The 25,419-nt window shown below is 47.9% G+C and overlaps 1 protein-coding gene across 3 annotated transcripts in view, besides 1 other annotated feature; it reads left to right on the top strand.

The window, feature by feature from the left end:
• The window catches only part of AGAP1 (ArfGAP with GTPase domain, ankyrin repeat and PH domain 1), a 637,751-nt gene that overhangs the window by 74,988 nt on the left and 537,344 nt on the right, over positions 1-25,419 (top strand). The window lies entirely within an intron of this gene.
• Positions 16,836-17,336: an enhancer, noted in NCBI's record as "H3K4me1 hESC enhancer chr2:236494510-236495010 (GRCh37/hg19 assembly coordinates)". NCBI's record gives its function as "activates a minimal SCP1, AML or CMV promoter by ChIP-STARR-seq in naive H9 embryonic stem cells {active_cell/tissue: H9 hESC(naive)}" and the evidence as "EXISTENCE:reporter gene assay evidence [ECO:0000049][PMID:30033119]".

The raw sequence follows: 25,419 nt of genomic DNA on the forward strand, positions 1-25,419 counted from the left end.
TATGGCAGCGTATTCATAGGTTCTGGGTGTTGGGACATGGACATTTTGGGGGACCCATGATTCAGTTTCCCTCACGTTGTCAGAGACCATCCTGGCCAACATGGCGGAAACCCGTCTCTATTAAAAGTATAAAAATTAGCTGGGTGTGGTGGCGGGCGCCTGTAGTCCCAGCTACTTGGGAGGCTGAGGCAGGAGAATCGCTTGAACCCAGGAGGCGGAGGTTGTAGTGACCCAAGATCACGCCATTGCACTCCAGCCTGGGCGACAGAGCGAGACACCATCTCAAAAAAAAGGATCTTGGAGGAAGTACATGACCCCGAGTGGGTGCCTCTCCTGGCCAGGTGTCCCCTTGTGTATGTTATCCTTGAATCTTCCTAGCAGCCTTCCAAAGTAGGCTTCGGGATTCAGTTTTACAGATAGGGAAACTTAGGCACAGAGAGACTTTTGGTGGCTCTATAGGCAGTAAAGGGCAAAATGGAAAGCAAACCTGGCCTCTTGTACCTCTGAGCCCCGAATTCTGCCCTCTGCCCATGTGAGCATGGTCTGTGAGCAAACCTTCCTGTGGATAGGTTTGGAGGATTCGAAGGACATCCCTGGAGGGGCTGTGCCCAGGTAGGGTGTGTTCACTGTGCCCCTGTGTGAGGGTTTGTAGTCTTACACCTTTGCCAAACCCTTTCTGGGTTTTGCCCCTCACAGGAGATGCAGGTCTTTCTATGGAACCTGTAGGTTCTGAGACCGAGCCTTGGGTAGTTTTTATTTCTTAGGCTCTCTGGAGTTCTCCCAAATCCCCATTGCCAATCAGTAGCTGAAAGTGGATGCTATTGTTTTTCCGATTGCTGGTCTCTTTACTTGTTTAGTGAAAACAGCAAAAATTTAGAATGTTTATAGAATTGAACACGAAAACCAGAGTTGTATATCTAAGGAAAACATGGTGTGACTGGCCCGGGATCCAAATTATTTGCAGCGCCTGTCGTCTTTGTTAACTCTTCTCAGTTCTCTTTTTCTTTCCTTCTCTCTGTTTCTTTCAGTTTTGGTTTTTCTTTTTGAAGACGGAATCAAAGGGAAATTATTTTCATTTTCTTCACAGGGAGTTCCCAGGCTTCCCCCTAGCCTTTGCTTTACTTGCTGTGCCCAGTTCCATGAGAAGGAGTTGTTACATTTCTTCTTCCTAAAGCAGTGATCGGTGCTTCTGCCCTGGTGGAGAAGGCTTGAGCAGTCCCCGGCTAGCGGCTGTTGCCACCTACAAGCCCCTGCCTCCATTAGGAAGCCATTTATTTATGGGGCCTAGGTAGGGGCAGGAGGTTCCTTTCAAGAAAACAACAGATTGCTTAATGCTGGTCTCCCTCTTGCTGGCCAAAAGGAATGTTAAAGCCAGATCATTATCTTGTTATAATGTGTGAGAGAGTCCTGCTTAAAAAGAGGACAAAGACTTATCACACAAATATGCTTGGGTCCCTTTTAATGTGGGAAGCACATTCCATGTAAAGGCAGCCTCCCGTTCCTGTCTTTCTTTGCAGAGACTTTCAGAAGAAGCAGGTGCCCTCATCGAGCATTCCTTTGATCACTTGCTAGGTGTGTTTGGTGGTGGTTTCAGTGCTGCTCTTTGGCCTCGGCATTAGAGACTAGTTTTTTAAAATTAAGTTTCTCTGGGTGTCCCAAGATTCTTTTAAATCCAAAGACCATTTAGGTTCCAGCTTCCTTGAGCCTCGGTTTCTTCCTCTATGAAGTGGAGATAATGGCAAACATCTGAAAACATTTTATCAGGATTTGGTGTGACACTACGTGTAGGTGATTAGGCCGGTGCCTGGCAAGTACTGCTGCTCGAGGAATCTCAGGTATCTGCATTCAACTGTTCTCACACGGCTATAAAGGAATACCTGAGACTGGGTAATTTATAAAGAAAAGAGGTTTAACTGGCTCACAGTTCTGCAGGCTGTACAGGAAGCGTGGCACCATTTGCTCAGCTTCAGGGTGGCCTCAGGGAACTTACAATCATGGCGGAAGGCAAAGGGGAAGCCCACGTTTCACATGGTTGGAGTAGGAGTAAGAGAGGGGTTGCAGGGGGCTGTGCCACACACTTGTAAACAACCAAATCTCGTGAGAACTCCTTATCACAGGAACAGCACCAAGGGGACGGTGCTCAGCCATTCATGAAGGATCCACCCCATGATCCAGTCACCTCCCACCAGGCCCCACCTCCAACACTGGGGGTTACCGTTCGACATGAGGTTTGGGATGGGGACAAGGATTCACACCATATCAGTGTCTTATGCATAGTAAAACATTTTATGAATGATTGTCTCTATGTGCTGTAGCTGTATATCCTCCAGTATGGTAGCCACAGGCCACTTGTGGCTAAATTTAAGTGAAATGAAAGATTCAGTTCCTTGGGCACACTAGCCACGTTTTCCAGGCCTGACAGCCATGTGCTGCTGATGGCTGCCTTATTGGACCACACAGATAGTGAAAGGTTTCTGTCACGGCTGAGAGGTTCTGTTGGCCAGTGCTTGTTCAGCTAAGGTTAAAATATTAACCACCTACACTTCCTTTGTATCTAAACCCATTTCCTTGGTTCTTTTCCAATACTTATTTCCTGGGTAGCCCTTTGTGTTACAGGGAAATTGTGAATTTTCATATTAAAGGCAACTCACCTGGGATATGGCTTGCTGAAAGGGAAGAGGCAGACGCTGTAGTATATAGTCAGTGCTCAATGAAGGGAAAGGGGCTTCACTTCCCCAACAGAGTGGCCCTCCAAAAGGGTCTCACTTTGTAGCCCAGGCTGGTCTCAAACTCCTAGGCTCAAATGGTCCTCCAATCTTGGCCTCCCAAAGTGCTGGGACTACAGGCGTTTGCCACCACATCCAGCTGCTGCTCCATCTTTAAAGTTGTCTTGCCCACACTTTGTGTGTGTGTGTGTGTGTGTGTGTGTATACATATATATGTATACACACACACACACACACACACACACACTTTTTTTTTTTTTTTTTGAAGCAGCTCGTCTTTATTGAAACTTCTTAAAACATCCAACCTGATTTTCAAAGCTCACAGCTCTGCTCCTGGCTTTGGGGGCTTAGCCTCTAATTTGGGTCTGAACTTTATTGAGCTTTGCTTGGCAAATGCAATGAAGAAAGTGTTACCAGGTGGCATTACTGAGAGCCCTTGAGGGTGGGGGGAGATTGCGTGCCGTGCCCTGTGTGTGTGTCAGCTGACTCTTGACCCCCGCTTGCAGCTCAGCATGGCTGTGTGACTTAGGACTTTCTAGATGCACATAATTTCAGGAGTGGTATTTGAGTGCATTTGGCACCAGGCATGGGGTGGCTGAGCCCCATCAGTGGCACCTCACTGTTGCTGTGCACTGGTGGGGTAGTTCTTCAGGCAGTGGGGGTGATATCCATCAGCAGGTTCCACCACTGGGCACCACCACCCTTCCCCCGCAGGTGCTCCTCTGTCCTCTAGATGTCCTGCCTCCTGCGTCCTTTGCACCATACCCCACAGGTCCTGCCACCCCTGCTCATCATCTCTCTTGCTGTTTTCATCTCTGAAGTCCCTCCTATAGGGGCTTCCTGCCCACTTCTCTGCACCTGGGCTTCTGCCCCAGCTAAAATCTCACCTCTCCAGAAAATAGTGGCCAACTTCCCCATCACCTTGGCTAGAAGTCACCCCTCCATTTGGAATGCCACAGCAGCTGCCCTTAGAGTCTTCCTGCTCTGGCAGGCCGTTGTGTGCATCACACTGACTTCAGCCCCACAAAGGAGGACCTACTGTGTGCTCAGCGTGTGCCCAGCTCTGAGTGAGGCTACACATGTGAACAGGACCAGCTCGGCTGCGGGAGCTCCTGGTGTTGGGGGCAGGCAAGCAGACATTCTGCCTGAGACTCCTTTTAGAACGTGAATGAGAAGCAGCACGAGAGTTGCTGTCAGACTCCCCGATTGCTCCATCTTTTTTCTTCTTCTTCTTCTTCTTCTTCTTCTTCTTCTTCTTCTTCTTCTTCTTCTTCTTCTTCTTCTTCTTCTTCTTCTTCTTCTTCTTTCTTCTTTCTTCTTTCTTCTTTCTTCTTTCTTCTTCTTCTTCCTTTTTTTTTTTTTTAAAGATAGAATCTCACTCTGTTACCCAGGCTGCATTGCAGTGGCACAGACAGCTCCCTGCACCCTGGATCTCCTGGGCTCAAGTGCTCCTAGAGTAGCTGGGCCACAGGCATGTACCACCATGCCTGGTTACTTTTTTACTTCTTTGTAGAGACAGGGTTTTACTTTGTTGCCTAGGCTGGTCTCAAATTCTTGGGCTGAAGTGATCCTTAGCCCCTCAAAGTGCTGGGATTACAGGTGTGTGTCCCTGCACCCGGCTGCTGCTCCATCTTTAAAATTGTCTTACCCACACGTACTTACATTTTTTGTTTTTTAAAGCAGCTTGTTTCATTGAGACTTACCAAAACATTCAACTTAATTTTCATAGGAAAAAGTCCTCTTATTTAAATTCTTATTTAGTCAGTGTGTATAATGTTTAATCAAATGATGTCATTATAGTTACTATTATTAAAACTCCCATTTCATCGATTTGTGTGATATTTAAGTGATGTGATAATAGTTAGAAGGAAGCGTATGGAAGAAAGTGTGGCAACAACACTGCTGACACTGGAGGACAGAATTCTGGTCTCTGCAAACGGCATGAGTGCGCCCCATGAGTGCGCCCCATCACCAGCAGGTGGGCTTGGCAGGTGTGCCCCGGCTCATCTGGAGAGTCAGGTCAGGGGTGGCTGGTCAGGATAGCTGTTACCACATGGAATGTGCATTCCTAAATCCAAATGCTTGCCTCACCCCAGTGCTGAGCCTGGCCAGCTGAGAGGCTGGAGACCCCGTGTATTCATGGCTGGGGCTGGCTCCTGGCAGAGCCTCCCAGCGGGTTGGCATTCTGTTCAGCTTTCCCCTGCTGTCGCACAACCTTTTTATTGACCCCTCCCTTCCTGTGTTGGCCAGGAGCCCACTGGCTTCACCAGACCCTGACTGTTAGCTGGTCAGGGAGGCAGGGCCTGGGTGCCTTGGGGCCTGTCCTATCTGAGGTCCACAGCCTGCAGGGACATCACCTAAAAGTTGTCATCAGCTTCATTAGCAGCACTCAGGCCCAGCTGGGCATTCAGCTGTGACTGCATTCTGGCACCTGAAGCATCTGGGCCTGGACGGACTCTTTCAGGTTGTTTGGATAATCATCCTAAAAACGCCTCTGAGATCCACCCCCACTCCTGCCATCAGGCATTAAAATCTTCCGAACAGAAAAGCTGAAAATGTTCCCTTACCTTAAGGGAAAGGCCTCAATGGATTGATTTAATTGTATGTGTGAAGCATTTTTTCTTCTTTGCTAAATGCATAAACTGTATAACGAAATGTAATTAGTGAAGGTGCATTATCTGATAAAGTAAATCTCAGCCACTGGGAAGAGCCCTTTTTGGCAGTGTAGTTTCTCTTTTAATAGCTGTGATCAGATTATACCTTTAAATCTCTTTAAACACTTCCCACCACTGAAGTCTTTGGTTTCCTTGATTTGATAGTTTTTACCAGGCTGTTCAAAAAGTCAAGCAGTGTTCTTTTAGGTCCTTTTTGGTTCTGTGCGACAGTTAATGAATAGTCATGTGCATTTGACCCCTAAAAGGAAGGTCTTTTGCTTTTTAAAGAGACTGTATTAAGAGGAATAATGGACCAAGTACACCAGGAGGGAATGAACGAGAAAAATAAAAGAAAGAAAATCACACAAGACCAAATAACTAATTTTGAATATTTTCTGAGACCTTTGGTTTAGAATCTAAACTTTGTTGAGGCTGGGCGCAGTGGAGCACGCGTGTAATTCTAGCACTTAGGGAGGCCGAGGCAAATGGATCACTTGAGCTCAGGAGTTCGACACCAGCCTAGGCAACATGGCAAAGCCCTGACTCTTCCAAACATACAAAAATCAGCGAGGCATGGAGGCAGACACCTATGGTCCCAGGTACATGGGAGGCTGAGGTGGGATGATCGCTGGAGCTTGGGAAGTTGAGGGTGCAGTGAGCCACGATCGTACCACTGCACTCCAGCCTGGGTGACAGAGTGAGATCCTGTCTCGAAAAAACAAAAACAACAAACCAAAAAAAAAGGTGACATTGAGAATAAAGAGATGGTGGTTGGATTTGTGGCTATTTTTCCAGCTGCTCAATAGTTGTACAAAATGTAGCTTGATATGATGAGTGTTTCCAAAATTCCTAAATTACATGTCATGTTTGTTGATTATTTGTATATGTTTTAATGTGTATTAAAAAGACACCAAAGGTGTGAGTTCATAAATATTAATACTTAGGATAAACTTAAGATTTGAAAGAATTTAAAGTTGAAGAGAGTTGAAGTAGGTGATAGTTTAGGTGGTCTTTGAATGTGGCAGAAGCCACAAAGGTGGTGCATGAAGTTTGGGAAAAGCTGAGCCGAGGAAACTGGAAGGCTTTCTCCTTTAAGGACCAGTGTGATTCTAGGCTGTTGAATGATATCTTCAGATACCCGTTTGTCCTGTTGCTCTGCCTCCTCCGTGAGCTGTGCTCACGGGTGGCCAGGTGTTTGACACTAGTATCCAGAGACAAACTCAGACATGCGCCCTGGGCTCTACTCCTGGAACCTGGGAGAAAGGGCTGCCGTAGGGAAAGGTGTGAACGCACAGGTTTGCATGCCTAAAATTATAACACTTTTTTATTGCAAAGGTTCTTTTCAGCTTTTTTCTTTTCAAGTAAATGGAGATGTGTCTTTCTTCTGTTTCTGGTGTCCTTTTTCTTTCCGTAAAATAACCACCTCTTTACTGAGATTGGGGAGGGAAGTCTGTCTCCATTGAATTGTCTGCTGTCGACATCAGATAAGACATTCCCTTCTGTTCTGTTTTCAAAAGAAGATGATGTGAAAAAAAAGTGGCATTTTTATGAGACGTGTTGTCCCCTCACATAACTTCTTGGATACCTTTCCCTTGTCCTAGGGACCTAAGCCTCTCTGGGTGTCACTGTCCGTGCACAGCCTGTGATAAGCCGCTGTGTGGCAGAGACCAACTGTGGGTGATTTGTCGCTCCCCAGAGCCCGGTTGCAACAGGAGGAGCCACCAGGCTGGGAGGGCACCAGGCAGGAGGCTGGGTCCATACCTGGCGCAACCCTGGGCCTCAGGTTCCCCAGTGGCAAAGGTAGGATAGGGGCTTTGGTCGCCTCTGTGCTATGAGTCTTTGTCCAGTTTGTCAGTCACCATATTCGTTTTACTCTCCAGTCTTTTCTATAAAAGTGTTTGGGGGCCAGAAGTTGTTAACCTGGTTCACTAGAAGCTAATGCATTGATTATTTTTGTGTGTGTTGTACTCAGCACGTGCTTCTCAGTGCGCTGTGTCCTCATTTGCTGTTTCCCCTGAAGTTTGACGAGTATGGTATATTCTGGTCACCAGGCAGGTGGTGCTTGGGGAATATCTCCTCTCCGTGTGCTGGAAGCATTGCCTGATTTTAATGAGGTGACTCACTGCAGCTGGTTTTAAGAACTTTGTTGCAGGTATTGGTTGACTGCAGTGTTCCCAAGTGGTCGTGCTGTGCCCTAAAGGCTGCTAGAACCTCAGGGGCCGTTGAGGGCAGGTTCGAGTCCCGCAGGCAAGAAGGTGGAACTCTAGAGAGGAGGGGGATGCCTTGGCCTGGGCCCCCTCTGAGGGAGGACTGTCGCCCCTGCTGCTGGGAGCATCATTAGCTGCAGCTCCTCATGGAGAGATGCCCAGCGTAAGGGTACATCCTGTCAGACCCTCTTCCCGTGACTGTTCTTCCAGGGTGTGAAGGGCAGAAAGGTGGGGCCATCTGGACCCATCATGGGACAATTCTAATGGCCTCTCCATTGCTCCCTGTTGGGTTGGCGAGATGGCCTCAGGTTTGCCTGGCAGTTCAGCCTCTCTCTGGCCAGTTCTGCTTCTTCCCCTCCTTCCACAGGTATCCATCTTCCCTCCATACCCCAAATGCCAAACTCTACCTCTGCATCTTCACCAAGAAAAGCATTTCTGTTGTCCTGAAATATCAGGCCTTCCTGAACCCCCTTGTACCTCTGTCCAGTGGAAGTAGAATGCCAGCCACATACGTCATTTAAAGTTTTCTACTAGCTACATTAGAAAAAATAAAAGAAACAGATGAAATTAATTTTAATAAACTGTTTAATCCAACATATCCAAAATATTATCCTTTCATTGCAATTATCTGGAATTTGTGGACGAGGTTTGCTATAATCCTGTTTGGTACTGATGCTTTGGGTGGTGCTGTGTAATGTTCATTCATCGCACATTTCAATTCGGCCACATTTTAGTGCTCAGTAGCACCTGTGGCTGGAGCTACTGTATTGGGCACCACGGCCTTAGGGTTTTGATTAAAACCCCATTCTCTTGACCTTCTGCCCAAAGCCTTTGCCAGATGAGACACTGCCTCTCGCTGAATGCCTGCTTGGAGCAGAGTCCTGTGTTTGTTTGGAAATGATCGGAAGCTCCTGTGTCCCTGGTCGCTTGCTGGAGTCGGTGGGAGCTGAGAGTCCCTTGCTGCCCGGAGCATGGCTGTGTGGCTGCCTGACTACATGGTTCTTCCCCCGGTTATTTTTGTTTGGGCAGTTAACTCTGAGCATTCGGAACATTCGCCGAGTGGAACGTGTGTGTCGTCATCCCCTCGAAGGCTTGGCTGATTGAGCCAGTAAACAAAAAGTGCATTCAACACAGGCTTGTCTGCTGGCCTCCCCCGGGAGAGAGAGTAGGTTTGCTATTCCTGAAATGTAATCCCTCCTTCAGCGCTGCACAAAAGGCCCATGTCTGCTCGCTGGGACCTGATAGTTCGCCTTTGTACGGATGAAAAAAACCAAACACTGAGCCTGGTCTGAGCGGGGCTGTTTGTTGAGGCTCCTGATGCAGACAAGGGAGCAGTGTCTGCACAGGGGGTCTGGATCGCACCCGACACCATCCAGGTGCCTGCGTGTGCTGGTCCCGCCATCAGGACTTCCCCTCGTGAGGAGCTGGGTACCACTGTTATCCTGCCTGCTGGTCTGAGGGTCCGAGCGTGATTGGGAGCAGAGACAAGAGTTCCAGGGCGAGCCTCAGTTCTGGGACCACCATTGACCAGTAGAGCTATAAAGGACTTGGCCACCAAGGTTGGAGCTGAGCCCCCCATGTCATGAAACTGCCACTGTCAGAGCCAGCCTGAGCTCCACGGTGCCCGTCTCCTACCTGCACTGTGCCCCCACACCTTTGTTGACAAGGACCTGACCTCTCCTCAAACTACAACCTAAGAACCACAATGCCTGTTCCCCTTACCTGCCCCCAGGTGTCCTGGGAGAAGTCAGTGACATGATTAAGACCTTTAAAAATGATGGTAAGCATGTGCCAGTGTGAATGTACTTAGTGCCACTGAGCTGCACACTTAAAAGTGGGTAGAATGATGCATTTTGTGTGTATTTTGCCACAGTTTAAAAAATTACAGACTGGACGCAGTGGCTTATGCCACCCCAGCACTTTGGGAGGCTGAGGCAGGCGGATCACTTGAGGTCAGGAGTTTGAGACCAGCCTGGGCAACATGGTGAAACCTCGTCTCTACTAAAAATACAAAAAAATTAGCTGGATGTGGTGGTGTGCACCTGTAATCCCAGCTACTTGGGAGGCTGAGGCAGGAGAATTGCTTGAACCCAGGAGGCGGAGGTTGCAGTAAGCCGACATTGTGCCACTGCACTCCAGCCTGGGCAATACAGCGAGACTCAGTCTCAAAAAAAAAAAAAAAATTTTTTTTTTACAATAAGCTATTTAAATAAACATTTGTGTATAGCCCAATAGTTTTTCACTGTTGAGGGTCAAAATTTTACCTTTGTCTACCTATCTGCCTGTCCCTCTAGCTGTCAGTCACACAGACGGATATAGATATGTAATTTGAATTACTTCTGTTTCTTTCTCTTTGCTAGTCTAAGTCTTAGAAGAATTAAGGGTTTTCTTATTACTGGCTAAAGTTAAAAGGTACCCAGTTGAATCATCTTGGAAAGAAAACCAGGAAACCAAATTATCACCATGAAGCAGCCTTCCCCAGCTTGTGTCACAGTGGAGCGCTCATTTTTGTGGCTGGTTTACTGTCGTAAAACTTTCGTATAAGGGCGCACTGTGTCAGCCCCTGCCCACTGAGGGCTTCAGAAATGAAAGGCAGTTCTATTTATGCCCAGCTGGCTTCTGCAGAGCCGGGCTCAGTTTACCAGGCGACACTTTTGCTTTAATCCTTCCTGGTGTGACGTAACCTTTCACTGTCCTTCCCATGCCCTGAGGTCTCCAGCCTTTTTGTTAAAACAAAACAAACCTTATTTGGGCATGATCAATACAGCTGTGGGTTGCAATCCCAGGGGGCGACTTGGCTCTTTTGTTGTTGTCGTTAAAAAATATTGAGGCAAAATTTACATAACATAAAGTTAAGCATTTAAAAGTGAACACTTGGCCAGGCGTGGTGGCTCACACCTGTAATCCCAGCACTTTGGGAGGCCTAGGCGGGCAGATCACGAGGTCAGGAGATCGAGACCATCCTGGCTAACACAGTGAAACCCCGTCTCTACTAAAAATACAAAGAAATTAGCCGGGCGTGGTGGTGGGCACCTGTAGTCCCAGCTACTCGGGAGGCTGACACAGGAGAATGGCGTGAACCCAGGAGGAGGAGCTTGCAGTGAGTGGAGATGGCACCACTGCACTCCAGCCTGGGCAACAGAGCGAGACTCCATCTCAAAAAAAAAAAAAAAGTGAACACTTACTTAGCGTATGCACCACATGGTGTAACCACCCACCCGTCTAGTTCCAAAACAATTTCATCACCCCCGCCCAGGGGAAACCCCATGTTCTTCAGCAGTCATTGCCCATTTCCCCCTCTCCCTAGCACCTGACGACCGCCAGTCTTCTGTTTCTGTGGGTTTGCCCATTCTGGACATTTCATATAAACAGAACCATACAACATGTGGCCTTCTGTGACTGGGTTCTTTCCCTTAATATAATGTTTTTGAGATTCATCGAGGGTGGTAGCATGCATTGGTGCCTCATTTCTTTCTACAGCTGAATGATATTTCATTGTATGGAGGGACCACATTTTGTTTATTCATTCATCTGTTGATGGGCGTTTGTGTCCATCTTTTGGCTACAGGGAACCATGCAGCTATGAACGTGCGTGTACAGGGATTTGCTTGAGTTGCCATTTTCACCTCTTTGGAGTATATCCTTAGGAGCTGAGTGGTTGCTTGGAAAGGTAATTGTATTTGACTTTGAGAAGAACCGCCATACTGTTCTCCCCATCATTAGTGGTGAGAATGAAGACGTGCCGGCCGCTTACATTTTGTCGGGTTGATTTCTTCATTTTCTTGCATCTCCTTCACAGTGGCAGTGCTGGCTTTTCCCTCGGTGCTTGTTGGAGGCAGTGGGGGAGGGAGGGTTGGGGAGGGTGCGCTTTCTACTCCACCATTCTAGTGTCTTCTAGAGGTAGAGTCGAGTGTATCTGAGAGTGCTTCTCTCTTAGAATAAATGACATTAACATATGAAAAAACAGCTACTTGTGCCTGACTATGGGCATTTTCATGTACAGGAGTTCTTGAAGCTGAGTTTATTGAGAATGGTTTTGTTACCTGCTGATAGCTATCTTTTTGTGTTTAGTTCTTTTTGACTTCTTTGGCCTCTAATGTTTTGACAGTGGCACTTAGATGACAGTCAGCAATTGCAACAGTGAATGAAATCACACAGCTTGAGTTCAAGGTGGAAAGAGAAAAAAATCTAGAGAGGATGTTATCTGACCTGGCATGAGAGGTGATCATCCTGTCTCTGAGCAGTGGGTTCTTGCTCTCGACCTTAGGGTGTAATGTGGCCCTGCTCCTTGTATGGTGAATAACTTGTGACTGCTGTGTTTACCACATGGCTTGACAGTTTACAAAGCACTTTTGTGTATATTATTGCACACTCTGATCCTTACAGTAATCCCGTGAGGTGTGGAGTGGAGGCTTTTTAAGAAACAGAGACTGCTTTGGGAGGCATAGGTCGGTGGATCACCTGAGGTCAGGAGTTCGAGACTAGCCTGGCCAACATGGTGAAACCCCATCTCAAGCAAAAAAAAAAAAAAAAAAAAAAAAATGCCGGGCATGGTGGTAGGTGCCTGTAATCCCAGCTACTTGGGAGGCTGAGGCAGGAGAATCACTTGAACCTGGGAGGCAGAGGTTACAGTGAGCTGAGATCATGCCATTGCTCTCTAGCCTGGGTGACAAGAGCGAAACTCCGTCTCAAAAAAAAAAAAAGATGGAGGGTGAAAGAGATGGAGACTTGGAGGTTGCACACTGTTCAGTGGAGGTGCAGGACTTCCAGCTTGGTCTTTGTCCCCAGCTTTTTAAGAATTCAATCATGAAGAAGATTGTTTATATTGTTCTTTTTTTTTTTTTTTTAATGGATTGAGTGTGAAACTGGTGGAAATATATTCCAGGAGGCCATTTAAAAAGAAAATAGGCTGGGTACAGTGGCTCATGCCTGTAATCCCACACTTTGGGAGGCCAAAGCAGGCAGATTGCCTGAACTCAGGAGTTCAAGACCAGCCTGGGCAACGTGGTGAAATTCCGTCTCTGCTAAAATACAAAAAATTAGCCGGGTGTAGTGGTGCATGCCTGTAATCCCAGCTACTCAAGAGGCTGAGGCAGAGAATTGCTTGAACCCGGAAAGTGGAGGTTGCAGTGAGCCGAGATCGTGCTACTGCACTCCAGCCTGGGCAACAGAGCGAGATTCCATCTTCAAAAAAAAAGAAAGAAAGAAAATAACAAGGTTACCATGGAGATCCTGCAGTCACGGGGACATTCTCAAACATCACAATGATTGGTGTCAAAAATTGAAACCTGGAAGAAGAAAACTGGACTATGATTGTTGAATTAGCACCCGGGGAGGTTTTATTATTCTGTGTTCACCCCAGGAAATTCTTAAGGCCTGAGTGTTGATGTCCTTCAGCAACCCAACATATTAACGCAGTCTTTAGGAGACATGAAATGTTCCTTCCATCCAGGGAAGACGTGATTGCAGCAGGCAGGAGTTGATAGTGATGCTATGGGGCTGTCTGCTCTATACGAGGAGCAGAGACCCCTGGATCCTAGTGGTGGCCCCTGGTCACCAGATGTGAGCCCTGGAGCGCATGATTGTGGTTTTGACCCATTCTTGCCCCAGCTTGAGCCTGACCTTTGGCAGGTCCAGGAGTGTGCTGAGTCTTTCTACCCCGCTGCGTGGTGCTGCCTGCCGAGGTGGTGTGGCTCTTTGTGCTGGCATTTAGGGTGTCACTAAAGCCCAAGACCAGGATTGCTTGTCCTTTGCAGTGTGCTGGACAGGAGCCACACAGTGTAGAAGCGACTTGCCCTAAATGCCTCATTGAGAAGCATGGGTGTCCCCTTAGACATCATGGGAGCTCATTGCATTGATGAAGCCCTCTTGAGTCAGATCGTGGGGTTGGTTGGTCATGCGTGTAATTATGTGTTGAGGTTTGGTGCCTTGAGATTAAAGGGATGCCACATTTTGAGCTTCTCAGATATAAAAGAAGGATTCTTTGGGGGAGGACCTATAAATATTTCTTAAAAGTGTTTTACAACAAAAGCACGGAGTGTACTTCAGAAGGAAGGATTTAGCTGCTGGAGTGATGGCCGAAGGAGCCTGGGAGAAGTCAGAGAGAGGGGGCTCGTGGTCCTTCTTGGGCTCTCATTGCTGTTAGCAGGAGTTGGCACTTGAGTCCCACGTCCTAGCCTCCCGGCATCACAGCCTTATGCTGCATTTCCTAAAGTGCTTTCTAGCACTGACCGACTCCAGGAGGCAGCACTGGCAAGGATTTTGGTGAGCCTTTGATGGAGTGTGTTCCGGAATCGGGAGGAAGCTTGTAAGGCTGCTTTCCACTCATTTTATGTTGTTGGGATTTGGCTCGGAACCTGCCAAGGACCCCTGTGTGTTAAAGTTGAAATAGTTCCCTAGTAAACTGGCCACTTTCAGACCAGCTGCATTTTCTAGAATAAACTTCATTTGTCCTTGACTCATAAAGGGAAAAGCCAGAAGCCAGGGGCTCTGGGGCACCTCCAAGTGGGCCAGGGTCAGGTGTGGGTCCTCTGCCTGGGTTTTAATGTAAACTCAGGGTTTTAATGTAAGAACCTGTTTTGTTTGCTTTTGTTTTTAGACCAAGTCTCACTCTGTTACCCAGGCCAGAGTGCAGCAGCCATAAACATGTCTTACTGCGGCCTTGAACCTTGGTCTTAAATGATCCTCTTACTCAGCCTCTCATGTAACTCTGGGGTAACTCCAAGTGGGCCAGGGTCAGGTGCGGGTCCCCTGCCTGCGTTGGTCTCACTGCCATATAACCCCAGCCATGGTGATCTTACCAGAGAAACTCATTTGAACCTATGCGGCTGCTTCAGGCCGGTGGTTGTTGGCCTGATAGGAAGAGAGCATACTCAGCCTCATACTCAGCCTCTCGTGTAACTGGGACCACAAGCATGCACCACCATACCTGGCTAATTTTTTTTTTTTTTTTTTTTTGGTAAAGATAGGGTCTCAGAGGTTTGGTGTGGTGGCTCATGCCTGTAATCCCAGCACTTTGGGAGGCTGAGGCAGGTGGATCAGTTGAGGCCAGGAGTTCGAGACCAGTCTGGCTAACATGGTGAAACCCCATCTCTACTAAAAATACAAAAACTAGCTGGGTGTGGTGGTGTGCGCCTGTAGTCCCAGCTACTCGGGAGGCTGAGGCAGAATTGCCTGAACTCAGGAGGCAGAGGTTGCAGTGAGCCAAGATTGTACCACTGCACTCCAGCCTGGGTGATAAAATGAGATCATGTCTTAAAAAAAAAAAAAAAAAGATGGGGTCTCACTTTGCTGCCCAGGCTGGTCTTTGAACTCCTGGACTTAAATGATCCTCCTGCCTCGGCCCCCCAGAGTGCTGGGATTATGGGCATGAGCCACCACACCTGGCCAGGGCCTGTTTTTAATTGTTGAATTGCCCACATTGCATTATCAGGATTGAAAACATAGTAGTGGCACAGCCTCCTGGAGAGTGCAGATGTAGCTCATGGTACGCTTGGGGTTTCTGCAGAGCATGACATCAGGCTGTCTTCCAGCCTTGCCTCACTAAGAACTTGAAGCATGACCCTCAATAAACCACTTTTTTTTTTTTTTTTGCATGGAAATCTGTGAAGAAAGAAGGCCTTGGGAAAGCCTGTGTCCTGGCCTGTCATTGAACGTAATAATTACATTAACAAGTGAATGATTTAAGTTCTGCACTCTTTGTTCTTATAGGAACAAGGTTAAGGGACGACTGTGTTGTGGGTTGAAATGTGTCCCCCAAAATAGTATGTTCAAGTCCTAACCTTGGTAGCTGTGTGTGTGGCCATACTTGGAGATGGTCTTTGGCTGATGTAATTAGTTAAGATGAGGTCATACTAGATTGGAGTGGGTCCTGATCCAGTGATCGGTGTTCATCTGAGAAGAGGGAGGTTGTGACAGCAACACGCAGGAAGGGCCATGTCACGATGGAGGCAAAGGTCGGAGCAAGCTGTGCTAGGAAGAGGCAAGGAGGGATCCCCTCCCCCAGCCTTCATAAGGAGCACGGCCCTGCAGACACCTTGATTTTTGAACTTCTGGCTTCCAGAACTGCGAGGGAATACATTTCTGCTGTTTGAGCCACCTGGTTTGTGGTACTTGATTACAGCAGTGCTAACCTCCCCACAGTTACCCACAACCTCTGAGTACCTGTTTGCCGCTCACTCCTCCCTCTCCCATTGCCACGTGGTCTCTGCTTTTATTCGTTTTCTCAGCGGAAACTTGGAGGCCATTGGCTATTGTGTATCGTGTATCGTGGCTAAGTCATTACCTTTTTTTTTTTTTTTTTTTTTTTAAAGAAAACCCAAAACCAAAAAACTCCTTTTAGGCGTCACCCCCCTACCCACTTAGGTACAGTGCTGCTGCTGCTGCCCCCGGCTTCTTGAAACCTTCTTTCTGACTCTCTGAGAGAGACTCTTGTGGATATCTTGTAGCTCTGGCCTTTTTCTTTAGCTCTGGTCTTTCCCTCTCTTGGCTGTGGATTCATTTCTTATCGCTGTTGTAACAAATTACCACACACTAAGTGGCTTAAAACAGCATAGATTTATTACAGTTCGGAAGCTCAGAAGCTCCAAATGGGTCTTACGGGCCTAAAATCAAAGGCTGTGCTCCTTTTGGAGGCTGTGGGGTAGACTCGATTTCCTTGCTTTTTCCAGCCTCAATGGCTGCTGCATTCCTGGCCTTAGCTCTGTATCCCTCTGGCCTCTGCCGTGGTAGCTGCGTGGCCTGCTCTGACCCTGACCTCCTGGAAGGACCCTGTGATTACATTGGACCCACCTGTGTAATCCAGAATCCTTGCAAAACCCCCATCTCAAAATCTTTCACCTCTTCACATGCACACAGTGGCTTTGCCCCGTGGAGCCACATGCTCTCAGGTTCCAGGAATGAGTCTGTGGGCATCTCTGGGGGCCACTGTTCAGCCTGAATGTGTTCTGAGGCTTAGTATTTTGTCTCTTTGAGTTCTACATTCATTTTGATCCTTACATCATCATCTGCAGGGGATAGGTGATTCTCAATCTAGGTTTGGGAAGAGGAACTTAAGGCTCCACAGAAATTTGAGTCCATTTTTACTTAAATGTACTTTTTACCTTTAGAAAAACTTGTAGGTAAAAACCAACAGGTGCATTCAAACCAATCACACGCCAACTTTTACCACCCACCACCGTCTTACCTTCTGCTGCTGTGTTGGCTCATTATTTTGCGCGGACCCGAAATGAAGGCTGTCTCGTCCTTTCTGTTTAATTGGAGCGCCTGGAGAGCACAGGTGAGTTGTTAAAAACCCGGTGAATCCTGCATGGATTTGCAAACCAAACTACATGGAGAAATCAGTTAAATTCTCAGGTTTCAGGGTTGCAGCTGCCACTGAGAAGTGTATTTAGGCAGGTTCTGGCAACAGACTTGGTGTTGGGCTTGAGTGGGAAGGGGATTTAGGAGCTTCATGAGCGAGTCAAATGCAAGTTGGGGAAGTGGCTGAAAAAAATGCCTCCTGGAAAAAGCAGTAAATGTAAGGATTTAGGTCGGCCATTGTCTCCGTGTAAGTCAACACTACCTTGTGTGTGTGCGCATACACACAAAGAGGGTGAGCCCTCAGCCCGCCATACGGGCATGTTATCCAGAAGAGAGGAGAGAGAAGCCCGCTGCACTCTCCACTGACCAGACCACCCACTTTGCCCTCTGCACGCTCACTCCACGAAGGATGCAGGTGGGCACACTGCTACAACCCCCTGGGTGTGTGTGGAGTTGGGAAAGAGACGGATGTTGAGCCTGAAGAGGCTGTGACCTCCCCAAATACTCGGACTCCCCTGTGGAAGGCAAGGTGGAGGCAGCTGTTATGTGGTGTGTTGGATTCACAGCAGTCAAGGCTGCCACGAGCAAGTATTTTGAGTGCTCCTTATGTCCATGCAGAGGCTGACTCCAGAGGATGCTGTGCACAGGCCTGTGTGACCTGAAGGCCCTTGCAGGCTGAGGTCTCTTGGTGATAATCCACACACTGTCCTGGGCCTTGGTTTTGCAGCATTTCCAACTTGGGTTGTCAGAGTGAGACTGTGCAGGACTGCCCCGTACAGTACGGCTTCTATGTGTGAACAACACAGACCACTAAGAGATGTGACAAAGCTGTTCCATCAGAGGAAACATAGTCTGGGGGACAAATCCTCCCATTCCTGATAGGACAGGAGGGAGCGGTTGGCTGGGGAAGACCTGAGTGAGGGAGCTTTCTTGAGGACGGGTTTTGTCGGAGTGTAGTTCATATACCATGCACAGCCTGTCAGCATACAGCTTGAATGAACTCACGTGTGTAACCAGATCAAGAGGCAGAATATTACTAGGGTGGCAGTTTTGAGTCCCATGAAAACAAACACATTTACTCTGTCTAGCTCCATCTCTAGTTAATTCTAGTGCAGTTTAAATGCTCACAAAATCCTTATTTGAATGGATGAGTCAGTGGTTTGAATTGAATAGTTTTTGAGCCATTTGTATGGAGAAGGTATTACCCAAACAGAAACATGGTGGTGATAATAGACTCACGTTGATTTCACTTGTTAACTGAGCAAACACCTCTTGTCTCCTCATTCTGTGCAGAGCATTCTGGGTGGAAAAGTCGGACCAAGTTTCTGAGGGGAGGACGGAGGAGTCCTGTCTTTTAAGCAGATGGAGCTGCAAACAGCCAGAGAGTGACAGAGATTGAGAGGCAGCAGCTGTCTTTTCAGTTGCGCATCCTCCTTGTAGTAACCATAGGTGGGAGGCTGGGATTCCGAGCTCAGGGCAGCGGGATGCTCACCATGTGCTGGGTGCTGTTTGAAGGACCGGAAATGCATCATTTTGTTTAAGTCTCCCAACAGGCCGGGTGCGGTGGCTCATGCCTGTAATTCCAGAACTTTGGGAGGCTGAGGTGGGCGGATCACTTGAGGTCAGGAGTTTGCAACTAGCCTGGCCAACATGGTGAAACCCCATCTCTACTGAAAATACTTAAAAAATTAGCCGGGCATTGTGGCAGGCACCTGTAATCCCAGCTACTCTGGAGGCTGAGGCAGGAGAATTGCTTGAACACTGGAGGTGGAGGTTGCAGTGAGCTGAGATAGCCCCATTTCACTCCAGTCTGGGCAACAAGAGCAAAACTCCGCCTTAAAAAAAAAAAAAGTCACAACAACCTGTTTCACTTAAGTACGGGCTTAAGAGGCCAGTGTGAGGGTCAGGAGCTAACACTCAGCCCCACAGGGGTCTCCAGGTCCTGCTGCTCCTTCCACGCCTGCCCGGTCCCTGCAGCTTCCCATGAACGGAAGGGAAGTCATCTGGCAGCCTTAGAAATGCTCATTTGTGGCCGGGTGTGGTGGCTCACGCCTGTAATCCCAGCACTTTGGGAGGCCGACATGCGTGGATCACCTGAGGTCAGGAGTTTGAGACCAGCCTTACCAAGATAGTGAAACCCCGTCTCTACTAAAAATACAAAAATCAGTCGGGCATGGTGGCACATGCCTGTAGTCCCAGCTACTCGGGAGACTGAGGCGGGAGAATTGCTTGAACCCGAGAGGTGGAGGTTGCAGTGAACCGAGATTGTACCACTGCACTCAGCCTGGGTGACAGAGTGAGACTCCGTCTCAAAAAAAAAAAAAAATGCACATTTGCATCAGTGATTTCATTCTGCCAGTGTTAAATGAAAATTGTTACAGGGAAGTTAGTTCTCAGGATCCATTGGGGATAAAATACCAGAACAAAGGGAAGGCTAGGGTTTCTTCTCCTCCACTTCTCTACACTCAACCACCCTTCCCATTTCTTTAATGCCAACGCACCGTCACCTTCCTCACCCTTGATGCTGAGACATTCAAGACCCCTTAGAACCCAGGACTCCCGGTGGCTGCTACACCCTGGTCATATCTGGCCTCTCACACTTAACCCCTCCAAATAGTAAAATCTGGATAAAAAAAAATTGGGTTTTCAAAGAGCTGTTAACAGTCTTCTGTAGCTGAGTTTTTAAGAAATTATACCATATTCATTTTGACTCCTAATTCCTTTTTGGAAAAATTTCTGAATTTTGTTAAATTCACGGAGTAACACAAATGGTTATCTTTCTGTTCCTTTAAAATCTATCTTTGATTTGGAGATTACTAGGGTAAATTATAGATCAAGAATATCATACATGTCATTATTCACTGAAATTTGCAGTCAGCTCTGTAGACACCATTCTGCCTCCTTTACCCAGCACGTTGGGGATTGTGATTACTGACGAGACCTTTAAAGAATCTTCCGGCTGGGAAAGGTCCCGAGTGGCCTGCTTTCCTGGCTTATTTGAGAATTTTGCCTGGCCCCTAGGTTTCTCAGCAGTCTGTATTTCCCACTGTTCGTTGTGCTCGTGCTGAGTTGTTTTCCTATCGAAATACAACTGTGTTTTATTGACCTTGAATAGCTCTGCCAGATTTCACAGGTGCTCCTTGCTCTGGGAGGCCCTGAAATGCCCTTTCTGGTCCCTCTTGGGTTCAGCGCTCAGGGCCTCTGGAAGGTTTCAGGAGCCCCGATGCTGGTAGAAAAGGAGATTTTGAGAACTACCAGTTAATAGCTTATTGTTTTGTTTTTTTTTTTTTTTTTTTTTTTTTTTTGAGACGGAGTTTCGTTCTTGTTGTCTAGGCTGGAGTGCAATGGCGCGGTCTTGGCTCACTGCAATCCCTGCCTCCCAGGTTCAAGTGATTCTCCTGCCTCAGCCTCCCAAGTACCTGGGATTACAGGCGCCTGCCACCATGCCCGGCTAACATTTTGTATGTTTAGTAGAGATGGAGTGTCACCATTTTGGCCAGGCTGGTCTCGAACTCCTGACCTCAGGTGATCCGCCCACCTTGGCATCCCAAAGTGTTGGGATTACAGGCATGAGCCACCGCGCCAGTGCTGGTCCCAGTTAATGGCTTATTTCTGAATTTCCCATCCAACCGAACTTTTCAAGTGTAACTCCTGGTTCTTCATGGGCAGGAGGACCATGTCCGCTCTAGGTGGCTTGTCCTCTTTGGGAAGGCTCTCTTTGCATTTTAAAATTATTCTGGATGACAGAATGAAACCCTGTCTCAAAAAAATATAGATAGATAGATAGATAGAGATATAGAATGGAGATAATTGGAGGAAGCAGTGGTCATTTTAGTGTTTGTGTAGCCAGGAGAGCACGGCCAGGACTCACTCTGAGTTGGGGTAGCCAGAATTCAGAGCATCTAGAGAGAGAGAGAGAGAGGCTCACCTCTTAGGAAAGGGTTTGGGAATGAGTAGGAAGTTATTTTCCTTTTTTTTTTTGAGATGGTATCTCGTTCTGTCGCCCAGGCTGGAGTGCAGTGGTGCAATCTCAGCTCATGGCAGCCTCTGCCTCCCGGGTTCAAGCGATTCTCCTGCCTCAGCCTCCCTGGTAGCTGGGATTACAGGTGAGTGCCACCACATCTGGCTAATTTTTGTGTTTTTAGTAGAAAGGGGGTTTCACCATGTTGAGCAGGCTGGTCTCGAACTCCTGACTTCAAGTGATCTGCCCGCCTCGGCCTCCCAAAGTGCTGGGATTCCAGGCGTGAGCCACCGCGCCCGGCCCTTTCTTTTCTCTCACTGTTACTGTCTCCCTGAGTTTTTACTCGGTGTTAACGTTTAAAAGCTCCAGCTTCAAAAAGTAGTTTTTAGTCTTTCTTAAAATACAGATGTAAGCACCCATCAGCTCTCTGCCCAAAGATAAATATTCTTAACCTTTAGGTGCCTATCCTTTTATGCCAGATGCCAAGTTGACCAGGGAGTGTCTGCACAGATTCCCGGTGTCTGCACCTCCTAGGGATATGGAAGGAGGCCTGAGCTCCGCGAGGCTGGATGTTGAAGCTGTTGATCAACAGGTGTGGGCAGGAAGGGACGGGAGGCTGGAAACCGTGACCATGCCCAGAGACAGGGCTTCTGGGGGTCACCAGCAATGCCTTTCACTGCCCTCTCCACCACAACCTGCTTTTCGAATTTAAAGATAACAGAACCTGCCAGGATAGGCCACTCATTTTTGTTTTTGTTTCTGTTTTTTTTGTTTTGTTTTGTTTTAATGTGTGTGTGTGTGTGTGTGCGTGTGCGTGTGTGTGTGTGTGTGTGTGCATTTTTTTTTTTTTTTTTTTTTTTGAGGCGGAGTCTTGCTCTGTCGCCCAGGCTGGAGTGCAGTGGTGTGATCTCGGCTCACTGCAAGCTCTACCTCCCGGGTTCATGCCATTCTCCTGCCTCAGCCTCCCAAGTAGCTGGGACTACAGGCACCTGCCACTACGCCCGGCTAATTTTTTTGTATTTTTAGTAGAGACGGGGTTTCACCATGTTAGCCAGGATGGTCTCGATCTCCTGACCTCGTGATCCGCCTGTCTCGGCCTCCCAAAGTGCTGGGATTACAGGCGTGAGCCACCGCCCGGCCTATATTTTTAATTTTTTGAGACAGTCTCGCTCTGTTGCCCAGGCTGGAGTGCAGTGGGGCGATCTCGGTTCACTGCAACCTCTGCCTTCCGGGTTCAAGCAATTTTCGTGCCTCAGCCTCCCGAGTAGCTGGGATTACAGGCACCCACCAGCATGCCCAGCTAATTTTTGCATTTTTAGTAGAGATGGGGTTTTGCCATGTTGGCCAGGCTGGTCTTGAACTCCTGGACTCAGGTGATGCATCCGCCTCAGCCTCCCAAACTGTTGGGACTGCAGGCGTGAGCCACTGCGCCCAGCCCTGTTTTTTAAGTTATGTAAACAGCAACGGGAATGAATTGACTGAACGAGGGGGAGTGGAGTGGGAAGCAATGTGCTGCCCGGGTCTTGGTGTGAAACGCAGTGGCCCTGGGCAGAATGCACAACAAAGGCGCACGGATTTGGGTTTAGAGGCTTAATCCCTCCTTCTCTTGGTGTGATGTTGACTCCACAGAGGCAAATGTGCCCCAGGCTGCAGTCAACTGTTTGACCTCGAGTTTGGGATAAGCATACGGCCTCTTCAGCCTGATGTCACTGATGTGGTTTGGATGATTTTCTCCTCCAAATCTCACTTCGAAATGTGATCCCCAGTGTTGGAAGCGAGGCCTAGTGCAGGTGCTTGGGTCATGGGGGTGAATCCTTCATGAATGTCTAGCACCATCCCCTTGGCGATGAGTGAATTCTTGCTCTGATAGTTCATGAGAGGTCTGTTTTGTTTTGTTTTTAATTTTCCTTTACACAACAGTATACAGTATTAGGTGCCAAGAGACCTGGTTGTTTAAAAGAGCCTGCCCCCACCCCCACCCCCCACCACTTCTCTCTTGCTCCTCTCTTGCCATGTGACATGCCTGCTCCCCCTTCGTCTTCCCACATGATTGGAAGTTCTGGGAGGCCCTTAGCAAGAGCAGATGCTGCTACCAGCTTCCTGTATAGCCTTCAGGACCATGAGCCAAAATAAACCTCTTTTCTTTATAAATTACCCAGCCTCAGGCATTCCTTTATAGCAACGCAAGAACAGACTCACACAGTCATACATTGAAGTGGCGCTGGTTCCCAGGGGCCCAGGCTTGCCTGGACAGCGCCCTGTGGCCAGGAAGACCTGGGGAGGGAGGGTGGCTGGAGGCCAGGAGCTGTGCTAGGTATCCCTGCTCTGCAGCCAAGGAGGCTCCTCCTCCACTGCCCTGGCCACCTGGATGCTGCATTTAATTCTGGGCACCACGCGCCAGAAGGAGGAGTAGATGAGCCATGTTCTGGGGGGCAGTGAGCAGGATGGTGAAGGAGGAGTAGATGAGCCATGTTCTGGGGGGCAGTGAGCAGGATGGTGAAGGAGGAGTAGATGAGCCATGTTCTGGGGGGCAGTGAGCAGGATGGTGAAGGAGCTTAGAACCACGAGAGGACCCCGCTTTTCCAGGGTTTTGGAGGGCAGGGCTCCAGGAGAGGCTCATTTAGGGCTGACTCCGGGCTTGCGGCTTGTGGCATGAGCTCTTGGAGGTTCTCCCTAAGGAGTCAGCCAATCAGGCCTTCCTTTCTTGTGGTTTTGAGCAGATTCCAAGCTGGCTTCACGGGAGGGGTGTTGAACAGGAGTAGCTATATCAGAGTCAAGGCAGGGAGGGGAGACCTCAGTACTGCTGGATGTCGCACATGGAGATATGGGCGCATCTTAGTTATGGTGTCAGTCCCAAAGCCTGTATCTGGCCGAGGTTGCTTGGGGACGTGATGGCTAAAGCTGTGCCCTTGCAGGGTGAGAGTGCGGGGTGGCTGCTCGTCTGGAGAAGAGAGCACCCCTTGGGAAATGGAAGATGGAGGTGGGGATCAGCTGCTGCACAGTTTCCAGGAACACTGGTGTCTCAGGGAGACACCTGGCATCTCAAAATAAGGAGAGGCTGTCTGACAGCTTCAGTTAAGGATGATCGGTGGCTGGGACGGTGGCCGGGAGGGCTGCTGAGCTTCTGAAATGAGCGTTAGGTGACCCTGACCTGCTGAAGGCCCCTGTTCACCTGACCAGGTGAGAGATGGCTCGGAAGTGAGGGAGAGGGGAGAGGGATGCAGGTTGTGGGCCTGTAATCCTTATTGATATCAGCCACCCTCAACCTGAGATGTAAATTGGAATCACCTGTGGCTCTCAAGCTGGCATTCAGACGGGCAGCTTTTCCTGAGCCCTCAAGGAGATTCTGTCTTGCAGCACGTGGGTAACAAGTGGATTGGGTAAATAGGCTCTTCCCTGGAGGGATGGTGTTAACGCAGAGACCCGAGACTGAGCTTAGGAAACAAAAGTGGAACAGAACAACCTCCTGATTTCAAAAGCAAAGGCTTAAAATTTATTTCAGAATGAGTTACAGTGATATTAGTATGTTTTTTTGGGTGGGGAGGACAGAATCTAATTTTAGTTGTTTTAGATTATGGTACTTTTTCCTGCTTGATTTACATGTTAAATGTTTCTGATGAACTGTTAAAATCTTCGAGGTTTTTGCTTCATTTAAACAAATGATGCCTGCCAACTCTACAACTTAAATATGTTTTCCGTGTATATAGATATATACTTAAATATATCTACTGTGTGTTTTGGCTTTGAGGTTTTCAAAAATGTGTATTCAAATCGTGTAGCGCTACAGCTAATTCAGTAATAAGGACTAGGCTTAGTGGCTCCTTTCTGTAATCCCAGCACTTTGGGAGGCCAAGGTGGGAGGACTGTATGAGGCCAGGAGTTCAAGACCAGCCCGGGCAACATAGTGAGACCCACATCTCTAAAAACAAAAAATACAAAAATTAGCTGGGCATGATGGTGAGCATCTGTAGTCCCAGCTGCTTGGGAGGCTGAGGTAGGAGGATCACTTGAGCCCCGGAGTTCAAGGCTACAGTGAGCCATGATTGTGTCACTGAACTCCAGCCTGGGGGACAGAGCAAGCAAGACCCTGTCTCAAAAGGAAAAAGAAGAGAAGGAAAAAAAATCAATCAAATTCTAAGGTGAATTTGAGAGTATACATAAGTTTAATGAAGATTTTTATTTAGTAATAATCATAGGTGCACATGTAGTAAGGATAGTTTTCAAGCGGTGTTAAGGAAGTGGAGATTGAGATGTTAAATAGCATCTGATAGGCGTTTGCTTTTCAAATAGACTTAGTACTTCAGCTTCTTACTCTAGAGACAGAATACAGTTCTTACATGGCTTTTAAGATGCTGCCCCCTTCTGGTGACTAGGAAGATTATAATATCTGTAGCAAATAGGCATTCTGGGGTTTTTTTTTTTTCATATTTAAATATTAGTTTTATTACTGAACCTGAAAAACAAAATGAGGATCAGAGGTAGCGTCTCCTCCTCTGTACTCTCCTTTCTTCCTTGAGAGGAGGAATAACTTTCTGTCTCTTGCTGTTCTTTGTAAATGAGTTTCCTTTTGG

The sequence above is a fragment of the Homo sapiens genome, chromosome 2 (genome assembly GCF_000001405.40).
Source record: "Homo sapiens chromosome 2, GRCh38.p14 Primary Assembly".
NCBI lineage: Eukaryota > Metazoa > Chordata > Mammalia > Primates > Hominidae > Homo > Homo sapiens.